Source organism: Homo sapiens, chromosome 2, assembly GCF_000001405.40.
Source record: "Homo sapiens chromosome 2, GRCh38.p14 Primary Assembly".
In the NCBI taxonomy this organism is placed as follows: domain Eukaryota; kingdom Metazoa; phylum Chordata; class Mammalia; order Primates; family Hominidae; genus Homo; species Homo sapiens.
Window position 1 is genome coordinate 40,627,714 of NC_000002.12, and position 24,064 is coordinate 40,651,777.

Below are 24,064 nucleotides of genomic sequence, written 5' to 3' on the forward strand. Positions count from 1 at the left end.
TGTAATTTGGGGCCCAGTAATTCCATAAACATTTTATACAGGTCTCCAGGCACACATGCCTAAGAGTTCTGTAAGATTTTTACCTAGAAATAGATTCTGAGTCTTGTATTTACACATATGTAACTTCACAAGATAATGCTAAATTCTTTTTCAGGATATTGTATTAATTTATTCTCTCGTCAGCCATATGAAAGTCCTAGTGGGTCCATATTCTAGCTCCCATGTGGTATTATCAGACTTTCCTTTCTTTTTTCCAAATGATGGGCTAAAATGTCATTTTATTATGGTTGAAATTTGTATTTCTCAGATTACCAATAAGCCATAAGTTTTTTCTTCATTTTTTACTGCCTCTGAGTCTTCTGTGTAATATTCTGTACATGAAATCAGCTCTGTTCTTCTAGATTATATGATATGTTCTAATTTAATGGTATACCACCCCAAATTTCTAAATTATAAAGCAAACAAAATTTTACAGATTTTGCAAAAATATGCAAAATTTGAATATATTGTGTTTTTTCCATTACTGAAGGACTTTTAGCTTTATATGTTTATAATTTTAAGCAGAACATCTAAGCTTCAATTTACAGTGTTGAGGTATGACTCGGTTATAGTAAGTGCATTATTTGCAAAAAAGCTTCTTGAGTTGCTCATACCTTAATCAACTCTGAATTCCCACAAGGATTGACATACAGTAGTAGCTCGGTATAAGTATTTTTAAGTAAATCAGTTCATTCTCTTAATGTAAAGCATGAAGAGCTATTAAAGCATAAACATATATGAAATTAAACATTCATACATAATATTCATCAATAGGACAGTATTTTTCAAGTTGTGTAAACACTGTGTTTAGAGAAAAGAGCTAATATTACATAGTATGTGATACCCTGATGAAATATCCTTGCTCAGGAATATGGATAGATTATTTAACAGTGAATAAAACACACAGCCTTTTTTTCTGGCTCCCCATCATGTGCATTGTAGAATATTTCCTAAGTTGGAAGTAGACAAGAACTTGACTTTAAATAGCACTTTCTATTTTCCAGTATTTTTAAGGTACTTCCCTGAGCAGTGACTTAATGTGATGGGCTTAGAATGAGTAAGCAAGTAATGGGAAAAGACATTTTTACTTACTTGGACAGTAAAATCATTTTATTGAAAGAATAATGCGAGGACATCACATCAAGATTCATATCTACAGGGCAGCGAATTCACATATCCTCAATTTTTCTTCTGTGTAGCGTGAATCAATGCAAAGTAGTATTTGGATATTTTAAAGCTCATCTTTAAAACTCTCATATGTTAGCTGCATGTTACCTATAGTCGATCATTTGATGGAATAAAGTTGCTTCTGCATCATTTGGTGTGACCATAACCCAGAAAAGAAATCCCATTAATATGGCTTAGCATAGAAATTGTAGTCATAAATACATTTTTTTACATTTATTGAAACAATTTCTCCCAGTACATTTTATTTCTAGTTTGACAATGACAATTGCATTTGGAGATTTAGCAGAAAACATCGTTTGAATTATCACTTTATACCACTGGAATTCTTCAAGATATTTGATGAATCCATTTCTATGTTCTTATTTCAGTGTCCATAAATGTACTATGGAAATAATGTTAGTAATTTCATAACTTTTTTGAGATGTTTGGAGAATACACATGTTAATATTCTTTATTTTTTTCCAACTTTTATTTTAGGTTCAGGAGGTACACGTGCAGGTTTGTTACATGGGTAAATTGCACGGGGGTTTAGTGTACAGATAATTTTATCACCCGGGTAATTGACATTAATATTCTTTAAGCATCTGGGAGCTAGGTAGATGGTGTGCAATTCAAAGTCTTATACTAATAATAAGACAGATACTCCTGGTAAAAGCTACAACAAACTTCAGGGGCTTTTAAACTTGCTTTCACTTCTCAGAAAATTTAAAACTGGTGACAAAGAATTTCTTGGCAATTGATAAAGGGAAAACTAATCTTAATGTTTTTCTTCATGAAGGTAATAGTCAATAATATAAACCAGGCATTAACCAAACTTTTCCACCATGTTCTAACTGCCAGAAAATAGCCTAAGTGAAGTTTTGCTTTGCTAGTTATTTTAGAAGATACAAATTTGCTTATAGGTCTTTGAGAACCTTTTTGAATATGACATCTTGCCGGAAGCTCAAAATTATTTAGTGCTGACTGTAATTGCATCTTGGAGGAGGTAACTGACAGCATCTTGACTCGTTTTGCCAAAAATAAAGCTTTTAGGTTTCCTGAGAACGCATTTAAAAATACTGGTTTTTGCTTGAAGATTATCTAGCCTGCCAAAGAATCCCCTTGGTTTTTCAAAACAGAAAAATATAAGTGTGAGTTGTTGAATTTTCGTAAAAAGATTTCCAACAACCTGGAAGCTAGAAAAATCAGAAGAATCAGAGTTCAAAGTAATTTAAAAAGTCATGATAATGCTAAGATGTTAATTCTCCTTTACTAACATTCCTGACAAATTCTTTTGCAAACAAAAATGGCAAAGTCATCAGAATATTCAGATTTTTGCAAATATAAAAATGATGCCAACTTCTTATTTTTGGCATATTACATCCAACATTTCTTCCTATATGTCCCAGGAAACCTATCAAGGTCTTATGTGAACTACCTTTTGGTTATGGTTTCCATTGCACCCTCATATAGGGAAAAATGGCATTGTCCTTCAGTGTATACAGTAATGAAGTTTTTGTATGTTTTTTAATTCTATTTTATTTGATTCTTTTTTTGAGACAGGGTCTCACTCTGTCACCCAGACTGGAGTGCAGTTGTATATTTTATTTTTATCAACAATGCCAATTATGACCAAGGAACTGGTAGGAAAATGAATAAGTCATCTGTCATCAGCACTTTCATGACAAATTAGTGTATTTCTATCTTGAATTCATTTATTCAAGCTAGCTATTTTAATTTTTTCCTGTTAATTTTTTGATTGGTAGGAAGTCAAAGAGATGACTTAAGATTTTTCTATACAGTCAAGCCCAGAACTAGAAGTTCATCACTAGACAGCCACGATGCATTTCTGTACTTTATGTTTTTATTATAATATGAAATTTATTTTATTTTATTTTGCTATGTCGGCTCTCTGTGCTTTGCCAGTGCTATACATAACTTATATATAACCCACTATTAACAATAAGTAGAAAACTTTGACATTATGTTTTTTTAAGTTTTCAAAAAGCATTTTGGGTAGCATCACTAAATTATGCATGGGCTATTTTACAAAATAATTTAATTTTACAACAGGTTTGTGTGTGACTATCATTCTTCTCTATTATCTGTCTGAGACACAAATAGCGAGAAAAGCTACTTCAAATAAATAAAGGAAATACACTGTGTATGTTGCTGGCCTTCAGTATTTAAATCATGCATTGATAATTTTTACTTTTAATATTAATACAAAAATACCATATATATGCTCAGAGGAAAACACTGTTCCTTGATATCAAATCTTTCCCTAAATTGAAGTTTTGGAATTATTATTCCAATGATTACAGACTTAGACTAAACTTTGCAAAATGTGCACCTGGATTTTTCACTTCTAATTGGAATCATTTGGCATCATGTTAATATTGCTACATTTGAGGTTTGAGAAATCGCAGTGACTTGGTGCTTCATATACTACCTCTGCTGCATGAGTATAAACTATGAATCCCTAACTAAATCGGAAACAGAATAAACTGAAAAAAATATTTCCATGAATGCAAATACAGCTGACCTTCTATATAGAGGGTTCATCATCGACAAATTCAACAAACAGTACATAGGTAGAAAATATTCAGAATAAATAAAATATAAATATCAATACAACAATAAAAACTAACAAATTAAAAAAATACAGTGTAACAACTACTTACACAGCATTTACGTTGTACTAGGTATTATAAGTAATCTATACATGATTTAAAGTATACAGGAAGATGTGTGTAGGTTACTTGCAAATACTAGGGCATTTTACATAGAGACTTGAGCATTTGCAGATTTTGATAACTGCAAGGGTCCTGGAACCAATACCCCAAGGATATGAGGGATGGAAGACTGTCGTCCTTTTCAGAGAAGTAGCATGATGTAAAATAAAACTGATATTAGTATCACTCATTCCTGCTTCCCTAACTTTCCTTCCTCTTACTAAGGAAATGTATCTTAATGGTATTAGTTCACATTCAACATTAGAGTCTTTACACACAGGTGAATGATTCAAGCTGAGAATATTATTAATGCAACTCATTTATACTCTGTTTGGTTCTAACATTCTCCTAAACCTACTTATTGGTTTTTAAGGGAATTAATTAAAATTCTTCAATAGCACACACAAAAAAGGAAGGTACTAATACAAAACAGTCAGAAGCCTCCTTAAAGATTCAAATAAACAGTCATTCAATATCATGGTATTCTGAGTCTTGGTTTTTTCCTGGTGTAATTGTGTGATTTGTAGCCAAACATCATTTTCTATTAGATATAAATCAGGAAATAACTAGAATGTATCTTATTAGAATTACCTTTCTAGAAGCATTGTAGAATTATATATATATATGAAATTTATATTTATATATGAAATTTATATATGAAATTTATGTATGAATTTATATATATTTATATATATAAATTTATATATATAATTTTATATATATATGAAATTTATATATGAATTTATATATAAATTTATATATATAAATTTATATATGAAATTCTATTCACGTAAGGTTTTATATACTTTAGTACTGGTGAGGAGGTTAACCACACTTGTCAGCTGTTCTTTGCTTTTTCCCCTTGAGATAGCAAAAAAATGTAAGCCCTCAGTTCCTGATTATATTTAGTTTTGCACTTATTAATTTTTGTAAACAAACTTTGAATTGCATGACTATAAAAAGTACTTAAATATCGCAAAGAAAACTAAATTCCTGCCAGGCATGGTGGCTCATGCCTGTAATCCCAGCAGTTTCAGAGCCCAGGCAGGAGGATCGCTTGAGGTCAGGAGTTTGAGACCAGCCTGGCCAACATTGTGAAACTCCGTCTCTACAAAAAATACAAAAATTAGCTGATCATGGTGGTGCACACCTGTAGTCCCAGCTACTTTGCAGGCCAAGGCAGAAGAATTGCTTGAATCCAGGAGGCAGAGGCTGCAGTGAGCTGAGATCACACCACTGCACTCCAACCTGGGCAACAGAGCGAGAATCCATCACAAAACAAAAGCAAAAACCTGAAGTCCCCTTTGGCTAGGCACAGAATCCTGTCTTCTCTCAAAAGAAAGGCACTGCTTGTTTGATATTTTTTTCTTACTGCCCCATTCTTTTTTATGGAATGAATGGTATCATTCTGTATATATATTTGCAGCATCTACTTTTCCCTGAAAAACATCTCTTTTTCAGACCTTTCTGTGTAGGAACATATAAACTGATTTTATTCTCTGTAAGTAATAAATAGCATCTGATAGTGTAATTTTACTGTAACACATTTAAGAATTGCTGTGTCTTAGGCAATTTTATTTCTAGTATAAATAACATTGCAACAGATATTCTTGTACATGGGTTATAGATATGCATTTGTTTTGTTTTGTTTTCCTGCACACTACCAAATTACCCACTAACTTTACCTTCATCGTGTATCTTGGTTCCAGCATTATGAGAGGATTCTTTTTCCACAGCTTCACCAACACTTGGTATTATTTAACTTTTACATTAAAAAGAACCAAATATGTAAAAATTAGTAAGAATAACTCTAATTTGTATTTCCCAGTTACTAATAAAATGGCATATTTTCCACATTTTTATGGCCATGTATCCTCACTGTTCTGTGAATTGCATTATTTTCTGTTTTAACATTTCTCTTTGTACCTGATGTTCTGCAGCTTCACTACTATGTATCCAGTGAAGATTTACTTTTATTTTATTTTATTTTTTAATGAGACAAGGTATTTTTCTCATTTCCCAGACTTGAGTGCAGTGGAACAAGCTCAACTCACTGCAGTTTCAACTCGAGGGCTCAAGCAATCCTCCCATTTCAGTCTCCCGAGTAGCCAGGACTACAGGCGTGCACCACCACACCTAGTTATTTTCTTTTCTTTTTGTAGAAACAGGGTCTCACACTGTTGCCCAAGCTGGTCTTGAACTCCTGGGCTCAAGCAGTCCTCCTGTCTTGGCCTCTCAAAGTGCTGGGATTACAGGCCTAAGCCATTGCACCCATCCTTGGTATTTTGGATGCATTTTTTAAATCTAAACACCATTTCTTAGCTTAGTCCTGGACTGTTTCTAATTATTTTGTCTTCAAACATTACTTCAACACACGCCTACCTTTCCATTTTTCCAAAATCCTATTCAAATTATAATTTAGTCTCTTTTAAGTTTTTTTCTTTGTTTTTCTGCAGAGTTTTAGGTAACTACTTCAGAACTGCCTTTTAATTACTAATTCTCTCTTTAATTGAGCTTAGTCTATTACTAAATTTAGAAGTATTTTTAAAAATATATTTTAAGTTCACAATTTCTAACTGGCTTTTATTCATTTTTAATTGGTCCTAGTTTATGTTTTTCTGTGTTTGTACCATACCTTCACCTGCTTTTGGATGAATATTCATTCATTTATCCCTTATAGCACTTAAGAGATTGATTTAGAAATCTTTTTATTTTCAGATCACTTCATTAATATACTTTAATCTGGACTAAAATTGTGACTGACTGTGATATATTTTATTTGTATACTTATTTTAATTTGTGAATTATAACACAAAAACTAGTTGTACAGAAAATTGCGTAAAATACAATGTACAGTCTAAAGAATATTTATAAAGCAAATACCCATGAAACCACCACTAAAATATAGAAATAGAACTTTCATCTCTTTTCCTTTAAATCAGGATGAAAAAGAAATTTCTTCAAATCAGGTATAATTATAAAAATGCTTTTATATGAATTTGGAATCTTTTCGAAGTCTGATGTAAAGTTTTACGAATTTTTCACATGCACTTCAGAAAAATGTATTCTGTTATAAAGTTGTATGCACGTCTTTAAATTAAAGCTTGTTTATCTTACTATTATGAGTCTCTTACCCACCCTTACCCCCTTGTTTCTTGCATGCCCTGCTCTGGTGTTTCCTCTCGAGTTCCTGCTGATTTTAATCTAAGTTTGCCAGTGGGTTAGAATGTATTGATGGACCTAAATAATGGTGTAGGTAAAATTACTTGTTCAACAGATTGTAACCATGGGTTGAAGAACAAGAGTGTATTAAGAAGGATATGAGGTCATTTATAACGTACTTGCTGGATGTTCTTCACAGATAATATTATAAGGAAATTATGTGGAATAACCACTGTTCCTTGCATCCGATAGTGGCTTCAGAATTCAATCAGCTGCATTTGTTCATGCCTCCAAAATCCATAGCTTGCTGGGGTAGGGTGGCTGTTGTGTGTATACAGACCTTAGGTGGAGCAGGGCATTTGTTTTGTGTTTAGCTAAGCCACAACCACATAAAACTCTTATTTTACATTGCTGCACTATCATATATTTGTATCCTACTAGTGATTAATATAAAAACTGCTCCCAGATCTTGAATTGTTTTTAAGGATTAATTTTCCTGACTCCTTTTTCGCTATCTTAGAGATCTGTTTATTAATTTACTTTTCTAGAGCTTCAATTTGAAGACTGGTCTGTATGCAGTTCCATTGCCTGAGGGTACAAAGAGGGGAATTAGATATCTTGGCTAGGGCTCTGACCAATAGTGGTTGCTGGGGTTGGTTTTTGCTTTTCCTTCTGAAATTGCTTATAAAACCTTGCATTTGTGTTCAGTAGACCTGTGTGTTGTACTTGTACGGATAATCCTTTCAGACTTCTTGTAATTCTTTCCAATTCAGGATGGAATGCATGAAACTTTCTCCAGACAGAGATAACCGTCTTCAGATGTTCAACTTTCCCACTCTACCTGCTTCTACCCAGCAGCTATTTCTAAGTTTTTCCCAGTCGAATGAGTGAAGTGATAGATAAACCCAAGGGTTTTGGCCATGACATTGTTCTTCTGTGGTAGAGAAGAACTATTCCCTTGGCTGTGCTAATAGTTCTCCACCCACCTCACAATCTGTTAGAGGGTGTGGTCTTTTTTTCCCCCTTTCTTTTTACTAGCTTCTTTTTTTTTTCTTAATTGAGGAAGATAATTAGCTCTGGGCAATTAGGATTAATAGCTCTTCTCCCTCTAGCTTGCTTCTCACTAAAAAGCAAACGGTAAGACATAGCAATTTTCTGACTTTGGTAAGTTGCTAAATTGATCCAGAACTGCTTCTGCAGTAAATGAATTATCTGCATATTTTCCCTGAGCTTTTTTTCATATTCTGCCATTCAGCTGGACTCCAAACTGGAGACATGTTAGTGAATATTTTAAATATATATGCACGTATCTTCACTTCCACCATGCATTTATTTTTTCTTTAAGAGGAGATATAGGCAAAGATTAGTAAACTCTGGAATTTTGTGTTATTGTTTTTCCCTAATAATCATGTTTCCAAGATTATAGTATGAATATATATTCTTCCTTGACACCTGCTGATTTATAGTAATTATGGTTTTACTTTCTAAAAATATATTTAGAGGTACAGTCTATGATTTGGCTTTACTTGATTATGTGGATTCATCAATGTGTTGAGTGCCCTTTTAAAAAATCTGCTTTTGTGGCATTCAGTGTAAATATCTGATAATATCCACTCTTCTAAATTCCAAAAGGCACATGGTAGAAAGACTTCTGAAAATGACCTTCAATAACTCTTCACCTTGTTTAATTCTCTTCTCTGTAATCTGAGGGGACATCTCTTTCATAGTTACATAGCATGGCAAAAGGGAGTTTGCAGGTGGTATTATGGTTACTAATCAATTGACCCAGTTTTTGTAAAATATGTAGGTTATCAGATGCAGGCCTAACTAGGTGAACCCTTAAAAAGCAGGAAGTTTTCTGTGACTAATGGCAGAAGAGAAAGTCGGAGAGATTCAAGTCATGAAAAAGACTTGATGGCTCATTAATAAACGTTTGTAAGATGGAGGGTCCACATGAGAAAGAACACACGTGGCATCAAGGAATGAAGAATGGCTCCCAGCCAACAGCCAGCAAAGATAAAGGGACATAAGACCAACAGTCACCAGAAACTGGATTCTCCCAACACTGTGAATGAGCTTAGAAATAAATAAGCTTAGAAACGAGCCTCCAGATAAGAGCCCAGTCTGGCCACAGCTTTGATTTTGGCCTTGTAAAACCCTAAGCAGGGAGTCCAGTCGAGCTCACTCTGAATTCTGACCTGCAGAATTGTGAATAAATGGGTTTCATCTTAAGCTGCTTAAGTTGTGGTAACTTGTTATGTAAAAATGAAAGTTGAATATAGGGTTCATTCAAGACAGTCTTCTGGGAAACCTGCAAGACACACATTTACCCCTATAGAACTATTTTCATACTGGAAAGATGTTAGCTAGGTACCAGATTTAGAAACCAGCTCCCTTTTCCATGGTGACCCCATTTACGTCTACTGATTGAACCCTTTACTGATTCTGTGAAAAACTTCTCCCCCACCTGGCTCTGTTTTCTGCCATAATCCATCAACCTCAATTTCCATTAACCATCTGATTGAATTTGTAGCTCACTAGGAACTGGTCCACATTCTTTCTCCTTCCTTTTCTGGCTCTACCTATTATTCTGTCTGGATATTTTTTTTTCCTTTACCATGGCTATGATGAATAAAGAGAACTCCTAAGTTTATCCTGTTATATTTCCACAAGTTTCATTTATTTTAGAAAGTCTCCTACAATGTATACAAAATATCCATAGATATTTAAAGAAAATTGAAATGAAGTCCAGCACATATTACTTCTATAAACAAGGCAGAACTTTCAGTTTAAAATAAAATGTCTCTAGCCATAAATACATAGTCAATTTTATTCAATGAGAAAATATTTAAATTCTTCAAATTATCCAAATTGGTATTTAGAATGCTCCATGAAACACATATCATCATTTCCTATGTCCGTGTTATTTAGTTCCATAGCTTTTTTTTTTTTTTTTTGGTAAAAAACAAATGATGCAATCATCATATTCTACAAAAATATTTTTAAGTGGGAAATAAATTGTAATTAAAATAAAACAAAGGAAACAGTAATTTACTGCATCCCTGACCCCTTTCTTTCCCTTTCCTCCAATAAAATTCATATCATTGTTTAAAGACTGAGTACAGACATACAAAGATCACAACCAGATGTATGGGAAAAGGAAAAACAGGTTTGCAGGAAAAAATAGTTTTATTTACTACCAAAAAATTGTTTTACCAAGTCTCAGGATTAATTCTTAAGATTAAAAGAAAATGTTTAATAAATAAACAGATGTATGGAAAAAGTGAGGTTTCTGACAGCAAACTCATTTTTTCAATGTTTACATAAATAAGAGTTATTTGATGTATCTTTGAGTCTTTAAAATTAATTATATCTTATTCTCACTCAGATAAGAATGGGAATAGGGATCATTTAAAGTAGCATAAGTATGTTACAAAAATAATATTCATTTATTTTCTGTTTTCCGTGATTGTAATGCTGTTGGAGTCCCAGAATATTATAAATGAGGCACTAATGGAAATATTTTATAGGAATGCATACTAATGTTCTGATTTCTCCTCAATATGTCTTGTATTATCCCAATACCAGTCTGCAATAAAAATTCACAAAGACAGACTGCATTGCTCAAATGGTACTTGGGAAGGAAATTTAGACATATGAAGCACAATTTGTTTGGAACGGAGACATTTTACAAAATAATTTTAGTTGATATCAAACATGAGACAAATTGACAAACTTATTGGAAAATGTTCTATTTAGAACTATTGATGATTAAATTTGGAGACCTTAGAAATCATTAAGGTATCACGTCCTCTATAGAAGGCAATCTAATTTACATACAGCAGACCTCCCACAAGATAAATTCTTCAAACCCAAAGTAATGTATCATTTCGCACATCCCAAAATTGCTTTCTAGCATCACTTAAAAGTCTTTTAAAAATCATAAGCAAACTCTCCTAAGCCAGGGAACACTAGAGAGAACTTGTGTGCCTGCAACTGCAGAAGATACTTAGAATCTATATAAAAAAAAATTTATATATTAACCCCATTTATCTGGTACATCATCAGGCACCCGGGAGATTACATGGGTAGTTGTGTCATAGTGAATTTAAAAATTTAGTATAAGTTAAATGTATATGTTTTATTTTCCCCTTAGATTAAAAACTCTTGAGAACAGAAGTCAGTTGATTCAGGTTTGTTTGGACACAATGCTTAGGGGGTGTTTGATGAATGTATGTGTGCGCGCGCATGCAAGCGTGTGTGCGTAATTACTTACTTTTGTAGATCTTTAATTATTTGCTTATAAGTTATCCACCATAAATTATGAACCTGTAAAGGGCAGAAAACACATTTCTGTAATTCTTTAATATAGTGTCATTGTTACAGAACCCCAAATTTAGACTTATGTACCTGATGTGCAGTTAACACCAAACACTGGCAAACAACTGCTTGGAGAAAAAGCTTTCTTCAATTTGGCCAACATGAGAAGGCAAGATCTCTCAAATCCCTCTAAACAAAAAGAAGCGGGGAATTTTTATGTGGCTAGAGAGTTAAGGGAGGGGGAGTTTCAGGGAAGCGAGGGGAAAAGTCTGTGTGTCTTCAGTCTCAGAAAACATCTTGAGCAACCAGACCCTTGAGTATCAGCAGCTGGTCGCCATGTCCATTCCTTCTGCAAATCTTTTTCATGACCCTGAAGTCACCTCCTCCTGCTTGGCAAAGAAACAGTACATCAGCAGTTTATACTGTGGAAACAAGGGATGTTGGCTTTTGTGCAGCAAGCAAGCAAAGCCTAATTAGAATTTTCATTATTTCAGCCACTAAAAATGCTGGAGTGCTGAACTCTCAAGGGAGCTGGTTACATTATGATGACATAAGAGCATTGTAAGAAATGTTACGGTCATTGTCTTCCTTATAGTTTTTGATGTTATAGTTTTAGAGGTAGAAAAAAAAAAAACTCAGTAAGTGAAGGGTTGCCATTCTTTGCCTTTGGGTAACAGTCAAGCTTTTACATAGACAGTAGTCTGTCTAATTAAAATTACTGGAGATTTTCACCCTTCCTAAATAAATGTGTAGCAACATTTCTAACATCTAGTTGTGTCTCTTCTTTAGCCACATCTGATGGGTATAGACATAGAAATAGTTTCCTCAATTCAGGCCTAAGTTATTTCTCTTTTGATAAGAAGTGCATAAAGGTAAATAAGATATGGTTGCTATCCTTGAGGAGTGTATAGTCCAGCAGAGAAGACCAACAATTTAGTGTAATTTTAAGCAAAAAAGAACATTTACCCTGGTGGCCTTTAATCTTAGCACAGTGGGGCTAAAATTTGAGCCACATGTGTTTTGGGTAAAAGCTAATTTTCTACGTGGCTATACATTATGCCACCGATTTTAAATTTATTTATTGATATTCTTTCATCTAGGAACCTTTCCTTGATAAGTTAGGAAGAAACATCTTTACCTCTTTTAGACTTTGTATCCATTTTTAATGTGCATCACAATTTATTTAGCAAAATACTGTATTTCTTAGGAAGACAATGAATGGCATGTAATGATAAACTCCTAACACATCACCAGTTATTCTGAATTTGGAAGGATTTTTCAAATTAAAAGATTAAATCAAAAGACTAGAACAGAGCAAAGCTCATATAAAACCGCAGAGCTAATTTATATTTGTCATAAATGTTTTGTCATGTTACTTTTATCTGTCATATTACATTAATATTTAAGCAGTATTCTTGGTGAAGTTTCATGCAACCTATTGCTGATGAGGTTGATATCAAGGAAATAAATCAAATGTTTTTTTCTCTCTCTCCTTCTCTAAGACTAGTTCTCTAATTCTGGGCAAAACTCTGCCTGCCCTGGCTCCTTTATAAATTATAAGCACTTTTCCCCCTCTTTGACATAATTATAAATTAAGCTGTTTTCTCTTTCTCCACTACAAATCTGGGAGGTTTCTAGCACCTGAGAAGTAGTAGAAATAAAAGTTTGCTGGGGGTACAAAATGTGGATTTAAATCACAACTCAGTTACTATCACTGTGAGAGGCAGCGGAGTGACTGCTTAAGCATCTAGATTTTGAAGCCAGTCTCACTGGATTTTAATTCTAGTTCTGCAATCTCACCAGTTAAATGACCTTGGGCACATATTTTCATGTGCATCATTTGCTCCATCAGTAAAATGGTGTAATAAGACTTCATACCATCAGAGTTTTTATGAGGATTAAATACATGGATACATGTAAATTACTTAGAATGATGTCTAGCATAGAGTAAAAATGCTATATATATTTGTTAATATTAGTAGGCTATTATTTGGACTTTAGTGACTCACCTAATTTTTATATCTCTAAAATGGCATATTATGCTATCTACATTGAAAGGTAGCATTTCAACGATTTTTAGTTGCTTATAGTCAAACTCCTGACTGATGGCATAAATGTCGTGTGAACTGCAGACTATTGGTATGTTAGAAGTGTTTCTTACATAGTAAACTGCATCATTTAATATCTCTTACCAGCACATTCCTTATGCTACAGATCAAACTTTTATACAAGTTTATTTGAAGTGAAGATGTATATGTTAATTAGTTTTGGGGCTGACCGATGTCTAGTTTAAGTACTCTCATTAAAATTACATAACCTCTTCACTGAAATGGCTCTTTAAAAAGTGTGCAATGACCTCTAGTTTGCTAAATACAATAGAACATTTCCTGTCATTGTCTAACTTAAACTATTTGCAATATTTGACACAGTTGACCACTTCTTGATTTTTTTTTTTTTTTTTTTTTGCTTGGCAGAAATAATTCAGCCTCTTTTTAATGGGCTGATCTGTGGGATTATAAGCTGATTATAAGACAGCTGATTTTATTGTCGAACCTCTCTAACACTGAAAATGCTCTTTTCTTAATTTAAATTAAAATCTGTTTTCTACTACCGTTTCTTTTCAATGAAATGGAACAGTCAAATACACTTAAATAAATTATTTGAAACCAACTTCTCTCACTCACAAAATACTTGTTAAGCGTATTGTATTTACCATAGTCAGTTCACTTTTCCAGAGGGTAAACAACCCACTTCTTTAAACATTTATTATTATACAACAGTTTCTACCTTCATAGTCATCCTCTTTTGGATGACAAATTCCAGTTCTCAATATCTGCATTTCGAATGTTTCAAAAGCACTCAAATGTAAGTATAGAGATGATTGTCCAGAACTGACATATGATAGGTCATGGACAAACCTTCTGTACAAAACTCTGGAATCACGTAACTTTTTATTTCTGCTAAATGAAATATAGAAGTATTTTCTTTGAAGTAGGAACAAATAAACTGCAAACATCCCTCAGGACACCAAAATCCATCTCCCTAAATGGTGAGGAGTGCTGACGTAACTCCTCCTCTGACCTAATGGTATAAAATAACGAGAGGACAAGAAGCCCACAGTTCTGAGGTCCTCTGATCTGGGAGACTGTCTTTACCCCAAAGGAGCAGCAGCACTGGGAATCATAATTGTGTGTGCATTTCCAAGAAGAACTAGGAAGCAACAGAGCACTGCACTGGCTTGATTGCTTTTTTTTTTGTCTCTTTTATGTCCTTTGCATTGCTTATTTGGTAATTCAATTGTAATTGAGTCCAGAGTTACCATTCTACTGTTCTCACATAACCTGATTTGGCAGACTGCCTAACGCAGCTCAGTAAAATAAACTGGAAACATATTTTCTAAAACTACTAGGCTAATATATCTACATAAACTGTGTTAACTTTTTCCTTTGAGCCAAAGTTTCTCACTTTTAAAAATGATGCTATTGTAAGAGAAGAATATATATCCTCCTCCTAATTATCATCATCAACTGGGGTATTTCTTAAATTGGAGTTCTATTTTTCTGTATTGTGATTTGAAACACTTGATTCCCTGATGCCATCTCAAATTGGCCAAAGCAGAAAGAACAGAAAATTTGAGTGCCTAATGTTGAGCTTTATGGTGAAGTCTTAGTGAATCAGATAGACTAACATTTTCAAATTTGCCTCAATCAGTCATGCTTATAAACCACTAGGGGATAATGCAAACTCAAGAAGCAGTGTGGAAGACTCTATGGACAATAACTTCATTTGTCACGTATTATATAGTGGGTCCACAAATACAGAGCTCTGTACCAATGTCTGTTTTTCTCACGAATGTTATAAACAATTGACAATACAGCAGTAGCCTTCTTTATTTTTACACTATGATAGTTGCTGAAAATAAGAGATAGTTTGATTATCAGTGTCAATGGAAGATGGAAAAAGGACAGCTGTTTTAAGTCTATGTTGTGAGGGTTTTAAGAGAGAGAGCTGGAGCTCATAGAAGGAAATTGTGAGAAGGCATATTTCAGCTAAGCGTAGAACATACTTTTTGTGAAATCACGAGCTTGCTCTAGTTGGGCATGCTTTAAGCATGGGTTTGGTGGCCATCTCCATGGTTTATAAAGGTATTTCTGTAGTGTGCTAAGGTTTGGAATATAAAATCTTCCAAAAATCTTTCAACTCTAACATTTGATGAGTTTATGCCTGTAATTTAATTTAGTGGATAATTTAAATTGAGAACTAGCATTATATATCTGGCATCTTTAAAGGCTGAACTTCTAAATGAACCAGATATGGGAAAGGAGTTAAAAGAGTCTCATTTATCCCCAAAATGTCAAATATTCTTTTATTAATTCTAGCATTTTTGTACATTGGTTTGTATTCATACTAGTGAGTTATAGGTTTTCTGTTTAAAAATGTGTATGTGTCTATATGCACATGTTTTAAGAAAAACAGTTGTGCTTTTTTTTCTTTTCTATGGGTTATTACAGTTATTTTATTTTCCTTGATTCATTTACTGTTGCTAGAATATCTAAAGCAATGTTAAATAATAATGGGTATAAGCAGAAATTATTCCTGTTTAATTCTGAATTTTAAATGAAAGTACTGTAGGGTTTATCATTTAAGTGTAGTACTTACTATATTTTAATAAGTAGTTTGTCATATTTATATAGTTTTCTTAATTTATTAAGCATTACTGCTAGATTTAGGCAAATTATTTTTAGCATTTATTTGGATAATCATATTTCCCTCTTATTTTGAATGATGTATTTAATAAATTGTATTAATCAATTATTTTTTTTGGAGATAAAGTCTCGCTGTATTACCCATGCTGGAGTGGAGTGACATGATCACAGCTCACTGCAACCTTGACCCCCTGGGCTTAAGTGATCCTCCCATCTCAGCCTTCCAAATAGCTGGGACCACAGGTGCACACTGCCTCACCCAACTAATTTTTAAAACATTTTTCTATAGAGATGGGGTCTCACTATGTTACCCAAACTGGTCTCAAACTCCTGGGCTTAAGCCATCATCCTATTTTGGTTTCCCAAAGTGCTGAGCATGAACCACCATACCCACCAAATCAATTTACTGGTTTAGTCAGTCACCTTCTTGGAATTAACTCTCCCTGACTATATTGTAGTGATCTATGGAAACTTTGCAGAATTTTATTTACATTAAAAAAAATTCTGCTTTTATATTCGTAAGAGAGATAAGTGTATAGCTGCAATCTTATCTGCATTTGTTTAAACACTTCCAAAAGGTTTTGGTTCTGAGTATAGGTTGACTTTATAAAATAAATTGGGGAGCTTTTATTTGCTTTTAACTGGAAGAGCTTTAATAACCTTGGGATGACCTGTTATTTAAAAGTTTTTAATAAAGTTCAGTTGTGAATATACCTGGTTCTCATCTCTTTTCCTATGTTTAGAACTTGATCACCTTTCCAAATTTTTTAAGGAAATTGTCATATTCAAGTTTTTTCACCTCTTGGATTAATTTTGATAATTTTTTGCTAGAAAACCAACTATTTCGTTCAGATTTTCATGTTCCGCTCCAGTTCTATTAATTTTTCCAGTATCCGTGTTATGCTTTCAAAAAGTATTTACACGTTTGCCTATTTTGTTATTTTCCTTGATCAGATCTTTAAGAGGTTCATATATCTTATATATTTAATTTAAATATTCAAAGAAGCAGTTTTTAACTCACTTGCTTTTTTCTTTTTATTTCAGTGCATATCCATCAATTCAATCTTCTTCATATATTTTGGCTTTTTAATATTATTTTTCTATTTTTTAATACTAAAGGGTGATAACTATTTACTCCATAGATTTTAATAGGAAGTATTAATCATTATTTGTTCTTTTAAATTGCTTTATAGAATTTTAAAATTTCACATTTGATTTCCTTTTTAATTCAATAGTTATCAAAATATTTCTTGATTTCCAAATAGTTAAGCCCTTAAAAATGTTTTTAATTTTTTATTTTGAATTTATTGAATTATGAGAAGATAATACATTTTGCAAAATCTCTAATTTTTACACTTGCATCAAGATTTAATCTCCATCTAAAACTTTCATTTCTCTGAGTATCTGTCTTGATTACAGAAGCCCTTACCATCATATGAACCCTGTCGGGACTGCAGGCTGAGCCGGGCGCGGTGGCTCACACTTGTAATCCCAGTACTTTGGGAGGCCGAGGCAGGCGGATTAGGAGGTCAGGAGTTCGAGACCAGCCTGGCCAACATGGTGAAACCCCGTCTCTACTAAAAATACAAAAATTACTCGAGCATGGTGGCAGGTGCCTGTAATCCCAGCTACTCGGGAGGCTGAGGCAGGTGAATTGCTTGAACCTGGGAGGCGGAGGTTGCAGGTTGCAGTGAGCCGAGATCGCGCCATTGCTCTGCAGCCTGGGCGACAGAGCGAGACTCCATCTCGGAGAAAAAAAGCAAACAAACTGTAGACTGAGCTTGCGTCTTTGATTTGTTTAAGGAATAAAATGCTGCCTTGTTCCTTATTCTGTGCTCCTGAAAATCACTCTGCTTTTTTCCTGTTAAGACTTAGTTCAAAAGTCCAGCATTCTTTTAGAGTCTACTATAATCCAAACTCTCCCTATTTCTTGATTTTTGGACATTCCCACATCTTTTGACAAAGCACTTTATCTTTCTATTGCTGACCAATCACTGGGTTTCTCGTAGGTAGATCTACTTCATTCTGATTGGGCCAAACCTGCAATAAGGCCCGAGTATGAGGCCATCATGTATACCAGGAGGATACTTTCTGGAAGAAAATTATATTTCTTCTCAACTGTTCCTTTTTGTAGATGCTTATTTCTTTTTCATTCTCAGCTATCAATCTCCTCAGTTTACTGTGGTATTTAAGCAAGATGAAATTAACCGGAAATTTTTATTTTACTCTCAAACGAACCTCTCTGAACTTATTTTTTTCCAGGCAGATGTTGATATTACTATCTCCGTATGCTATGGGTCTGTGATTCTGACAAATGAAGGAGAACAAAACCCACGAGCAAAATAGATTTTCTTATTATAATATCAGATTTCATTAGGAGGCCAAAAATACAGAAAAACTTAATTTTTTTAATTGTCTTAAGATTTTAAACATGGATATATTACCTTGAGGATAAGTGATTTTGACAGGAATCTATTTTCCCCTACATCTATTTTTTTTTTTAAATCCTTTGGATTCAGTAATTACTTTTTGAAGAAAGAAGGTAGTTTCAGATGTTACTTTTTGAAACGACTTTTGCTCCTTACATTTTGTATATAATACTGTAATTAGAAAAATTGTTCAAAATATCAAAACTTTGGCCCAGTTCATGCATATTTTCTGACTCAGAAAATCTGCCCTGCAATAATAATAAGCCGCATTGATAAAAGAACTTACAGCAAGTTTAAAAAACACTGCCATATGGTTAAGCTGACCTGGTTTTATTTGATCTGAGGTTTCCTAAGGTAATATAATACATGTTTGGTCATGATTTAGAGAGAACTAAGGCTTATTCCTGATTTGGGTTCAGGTCATGATGCAGAAGATAAAGTAGAGGAAGGAAGGAGGATGAGCCATGCACTGGGAGACCATAATAAAATCTTTTAAACCTTTAAATTCTGGTGGCATAATTTTATATCTTTTTACTTATCTCATTTGCTGTGGTTTTCAAAAGTATCTGCTATTGGGCTGAAGTTATTCAGTCCCTTCCCACTTCTCCAATTATCAGTAGCAATTTCCTTTACAAATACAATTTGTGTCTCTAAATAACCTATATAACCAATTAAATACACGATAACATATTTATGTGAGTTTTACGATAATTATTAATATGATTACATCTATGCCTTAAGATTATAGATTGTTTTTATTTTCTTTATTGCAAATTTTCATATTTCCCAAATTTAAAAAAAATTATATGAACCATTTTTGTTATCAGAAAGGTATGGGGTTTTGAAACACATTTTTTGAGAAAGATAGAACTTAATTTGTTTCCAAATCTTTATATTTTCAAATGGTATTCAAGGAAATATATGAGAAAATAATATGCAATTAATAAATCAAAAGAAGTTCATTTGGCTTACAAATTATTATGGAGCCAACTTGAATGCAGTAATCATTAGGTATAGGTTTACACGAATGACATTTTTCTTACCTGTGCAGCAATAATATAATATTTTCCAGGGAAATTTGAATAAATGTGTTTCAAGAGCAAATGATTGTCACAGAATAATCATAAAAGAAAATGTTTACAGCAGAACCAATCTTATCTGCATTTGTTTAAAAATATATCATTTTTGGTTGGAAAATAATATTCAAATACATTTTTATACCTTTTGCTATCTATATCTAAATTGTGTTTCCCCGGCATATCATCTCAAATGGTCTCCCAGAACTGCCCTTCAATCCTATCACATTTCTCAGGCAAATCACAAGCCCAAACTCCAGGATTATAATCCAATAGAGAAGATACTATATATTCCCTTTGCATTTCTCCTTAAAATGCTAACACTTACCTCCTATCTCTTCATTTTTATATGATAATTCAATTCATTGAGCAGATAGAAGCCATTAGAAGAAAATTTCCCATTCTTCTCATTATGAAATGGTCTGCATTAATATCCTCTATTTTCCTCCTCTAATAATGGACACAGCTCTCCTTCCTCCTTTCTACTTATCACTTTTTTTTAGGGAGTCCCAGCAGTTTTTGGATACACAAGCCTTTTTTTCCTGCAATTATCTATTCCTTTTACATACATATCATAATTTTTCCCTCTTTGCAGGATTATTTTTATTAGAAACAAACAAAAATTTGTTTTATCATTATATGCCTCCTTGCAGGGCAAATCTCTCTCTAGGTACTGTCCCATTTCTCTTGTCAAGGGAAAAAATAGTTTATGTAACTCAAGTAGAGATTAAAGGTCTGCTCACCTAATGCACATTGGGGAGCCTCTGAAGATCAGCGAACTCTCTGAGTCAATGCAGGATCTTATAGAGAATGGATAAGAGAGGGAGATAGGTGGTTGGGCTATCATAGCACTTTTCATCTCAAACTGATGTAAAACTTGCTACTGGAACGGTGGATGCTTTTTAGTTTTCCATTCCGCCTACTTGGGATTGTTGGCACACTGACGTCCAGGTAACTGTTAGAACAGTTTTTATCAAAAGCTGTTTTGATAAGCCCAGGGTTTGTTGATTAGATAAGGCCCAAGGGAGAGTTAGCCAAAAAAGGTGGAAAGGGAAAACAAACAAAAGAAAACATGAGGGCAAGGGTTACAGCAAGGGAAATTGGGAACTCTATCATTTCTTTTAATCCTTTTATACTCTATTTCTCTTTATATAAACATTTCAGGAATTCATTTTTCACACTGTTTATTGTTTTGCATGTCTCATCTCCCATTTTCTCTTAAATTAATCCAGCTTTATTCCTCAACACTAGTGAAAACCCTCCTGCCAATGTCTTCAATGACAGCCACTTATTAAATCTGACATTAAACACCCAATTCTTATCTTACCCAAAATTGCAACAATCATTTGATGGTATACAATCTCGGCCTTTTCAAGAAATTAAGATTTATCTGGCAGATGATTTTAGTTAAAATTATATATATAGTCCACCAGAATAAATATTTGGGTTACCAATTACCTCATCATTGCTAAATCCAATGGTAAATTCTTAGTCCTTGTCTCACGTAATATACTTGCACTTGATAACCCGACTCAGTTGATTACCCTCTCCTTCTGGAAACAGTTTCCATCTGTCTTCAGCAAGACCTCACTGTCATGGTTTTCCTAATCATCTACTGGACTAACCGGCTATTTGGTCTCATCTCTTTTAGCACCTCTCCATTTCTTTCTAACTTTTACCTAATGTGGAGCTCCTAGACTCAAATCTTCTCCTTCTTCCCCTGTCTGCTTTCCCTCACTTGCTAGATGATTTTACCTAGTACTGTGGTTTCAAATAAAAATCTATACGCTGATGGCTCAAAGTTATATCCCTAGGTCCCAAATTAAATTTGAGATCCAGATTCAATACCTCCCTTCTTCTCCTCAAAATTTTCACTTCTTTGGAAGGCAGGGGCTCTGGCTGTCTGCTTCAGAGCTCTGTTCTCAGTGTCTGAAATGGTGCCTGATATGTGGTATGCATTCTATAAATTTTTGTGGAATAAATGATAGAATGAATCTTCTGTTATTCCTCCAGCACACAACCTATTATTCATTCATAATTATTTAATTGTGGAGTATTCTATCTCTTACCCCTAGGATAGTAATTTTCAACTGTTTCCTTCTGAGAAGTCTTCTACATTCTTCTGCAAACATAGGTCAAAATGAATTGATCATTCCTCTGCCATTCTGCAACATCCACATTATAATTATTAGATTGGAAAACTTTATACTAGTCACTGCTGTGCATGTGTGTGTGTGTGCGTGTGTGTGTGTGCGTGTGTGTGTGTGTGTGTCCTATTAGGATGTGAATTATTTGAGAGCTGGAGTCATATTTCATATATCTTTTTGTTCCTACCATCTTACATGATGCTTACACATTGCACATGCAATGACATTTTTGTTAACTTGGTCAATATAATTTTCTTCATTTGCATAATCAGAACCTAAATCTGTTTAAAAACTTCTTAAAATTGCTTTTTTTCCTGGTGTATAAATACACTCATTTAGTTATCTCTCCAGATTCCACAGCCAATTCTTTGTAATTTATTTTATAAGATGTTCCTTCTATTCTACTATTGGACAAAGGAGTCCTATGTATATCACTTCCATTTATATCATTTATATCACTTCCTAAGAGAAGAACAATTTCTTTGTCTTGAGTTCAATCCTAATTTAAAGGCTTTTTACACAGAAATGATCACAACAATCAGAATACAGTATAAAAGTAAGTTTGGAAGTTTTAGATTTTTTGTAAATACAAATTAACTTATTTTAAAGTTCCTTGGCATATTGTTTTATAGCAAGTGTTATCTCTCTTCTGGAAACAGAAAAAAAGTAAATATAAAATAAAATATAGCTAGAGTGGGAGATGATTTAAAATTTAGGGCCAATAGGACATAATATTATGTATTATATTACATATTATGTATTATATTATTATAAATAATAACTATATAACAAAAATGTATTTAAAATGTATAAATCTATGGGAAAATGCTCATAACCAAAACAAAAGAATAAATGTATAAAATTATTTTTTCCATATCACTTCAGTATTATTTATATGTTTACACATAAATATCTATATAAATATATTCACACATGATTATGATAGAAGAATGAGAGAGAAAATTGTAAAGAACTATATCAAAATAAGATAGGTTCTCTCTGAGAGGTGATTTTTACTTTGTTTTATTTTTTGGTAGTTTCACATAAAATACAAATTCCCACCAGCAATTGTAACAAAATCAAGAGTAGGCAAGTGGAGCCTAATTAAACTAAAAAGCTTCTGCATAGCAAAAGAAACTATCAACAGAGTAAAAAGACAATCTATAGAATGAAAGAAATTATTTGCAAACTATGCATCTGACAAAGATCTAATATCTAGAATCTATAAGGACTCAAATAACAAATAAACCTATTAAAAATGGACAAAGAACATGAACACTTCTCAAATGATGACATACACATGGCCAACAAGCATATGAAAACATGCTCTATGTCACTAATCATTAGAGAAATGCAAATCAAAACTACAATGAGATAACATCAGAATGGCCATTATATAAACGGCAGAAAATAATAGATGTTGGAGAGATTATGGAGAAAATGGAATGCTTATACAAGGCTGGTGGGAATGTATGTTAATTTAGCCACTGTAGGAAATGGTTTGGAGGTTTCTCAAAGCACTTAAAAGAGACTACCATTCAACCCAGCAATCCCATCAGTGGGTATATACCCAAAAGAATACAAATTGTTCTACTAAAAAGTCACATGCATGTGTATGTTTATCACAGTACTATTCACAACAGTGAAGGCATGAAATCAACCAAGATGCCTATCAACAGTTGACTGGATAAAGTAAATATGGTACAAATACACCATTTAATGCTATGCAGCCATAAGAAAGAATGAGATCATGTCTTTTGCAGAAACGTGGATAGAGCTGGAGGTCATTATCCCTAAGCAAATTAACACCAGAGCAGCAAACCAAATACTGTATGTTATCACTTCTAAGTGGGAGCTAAACATCGAGTACGCATGGATACAAAGAGAGGAACAATAGATACCAGGACCTGCTTTAGTGTGGAGTTTGGAAGGAGGGTGAGGGTTGAAAACTACCTATCGAGAACTATGCTCTCTGAGTGTCAAAATTATTTGTACACCAAATCCCGGCACCATGCAACTTACCCTAAAAAAAACTTGCACATATACCTCCAAACCCAAAATAAAAGTTGAAAAAGTATATATATAAATCTAAAATATAAGAACTCTAGAGTTTGCAAATTTTAAAAACAAATATTAAATTTAGTTGTTTTAGGTAGAGTGCAGTGGCTCACGCCTGTACTTCCATCACTTTGAGGGGCAGAGGCTGAAGGGTCTCTTGAGGTCAAGAATTGGAGACTGAGAACAGCCTGGGCAACACAGCAAGACTCTGTCTCTACAAAATAT

At 33.5% G+C, this 24,064-nt stretch overlaps 1 long non-coding RNA gene across 1 annotated transcript; it reads right to left on the minus strand.

Annotated features, from left to right (window-relative positions):
* Positions 1-5,195: 5,195 nt before the first annotated feature.
* LOC105374475 (uncharacterized) lies at positions 5,196-15,972 on the minus strand. Its single transcript, XR_939986.2, has 3 exons — positions 11,514-15,972; positions 11,380-11,432; positions 5,196-5,703 (listed from the first exon to the last, which is right to left on the minus strand). It is a non-coding gene; the product is annotated as an uncharacterized LOC105374475 (long non-coding RNA).
* Positions 15,973-24,064: the final 8,092 nt, after the last annotated feature.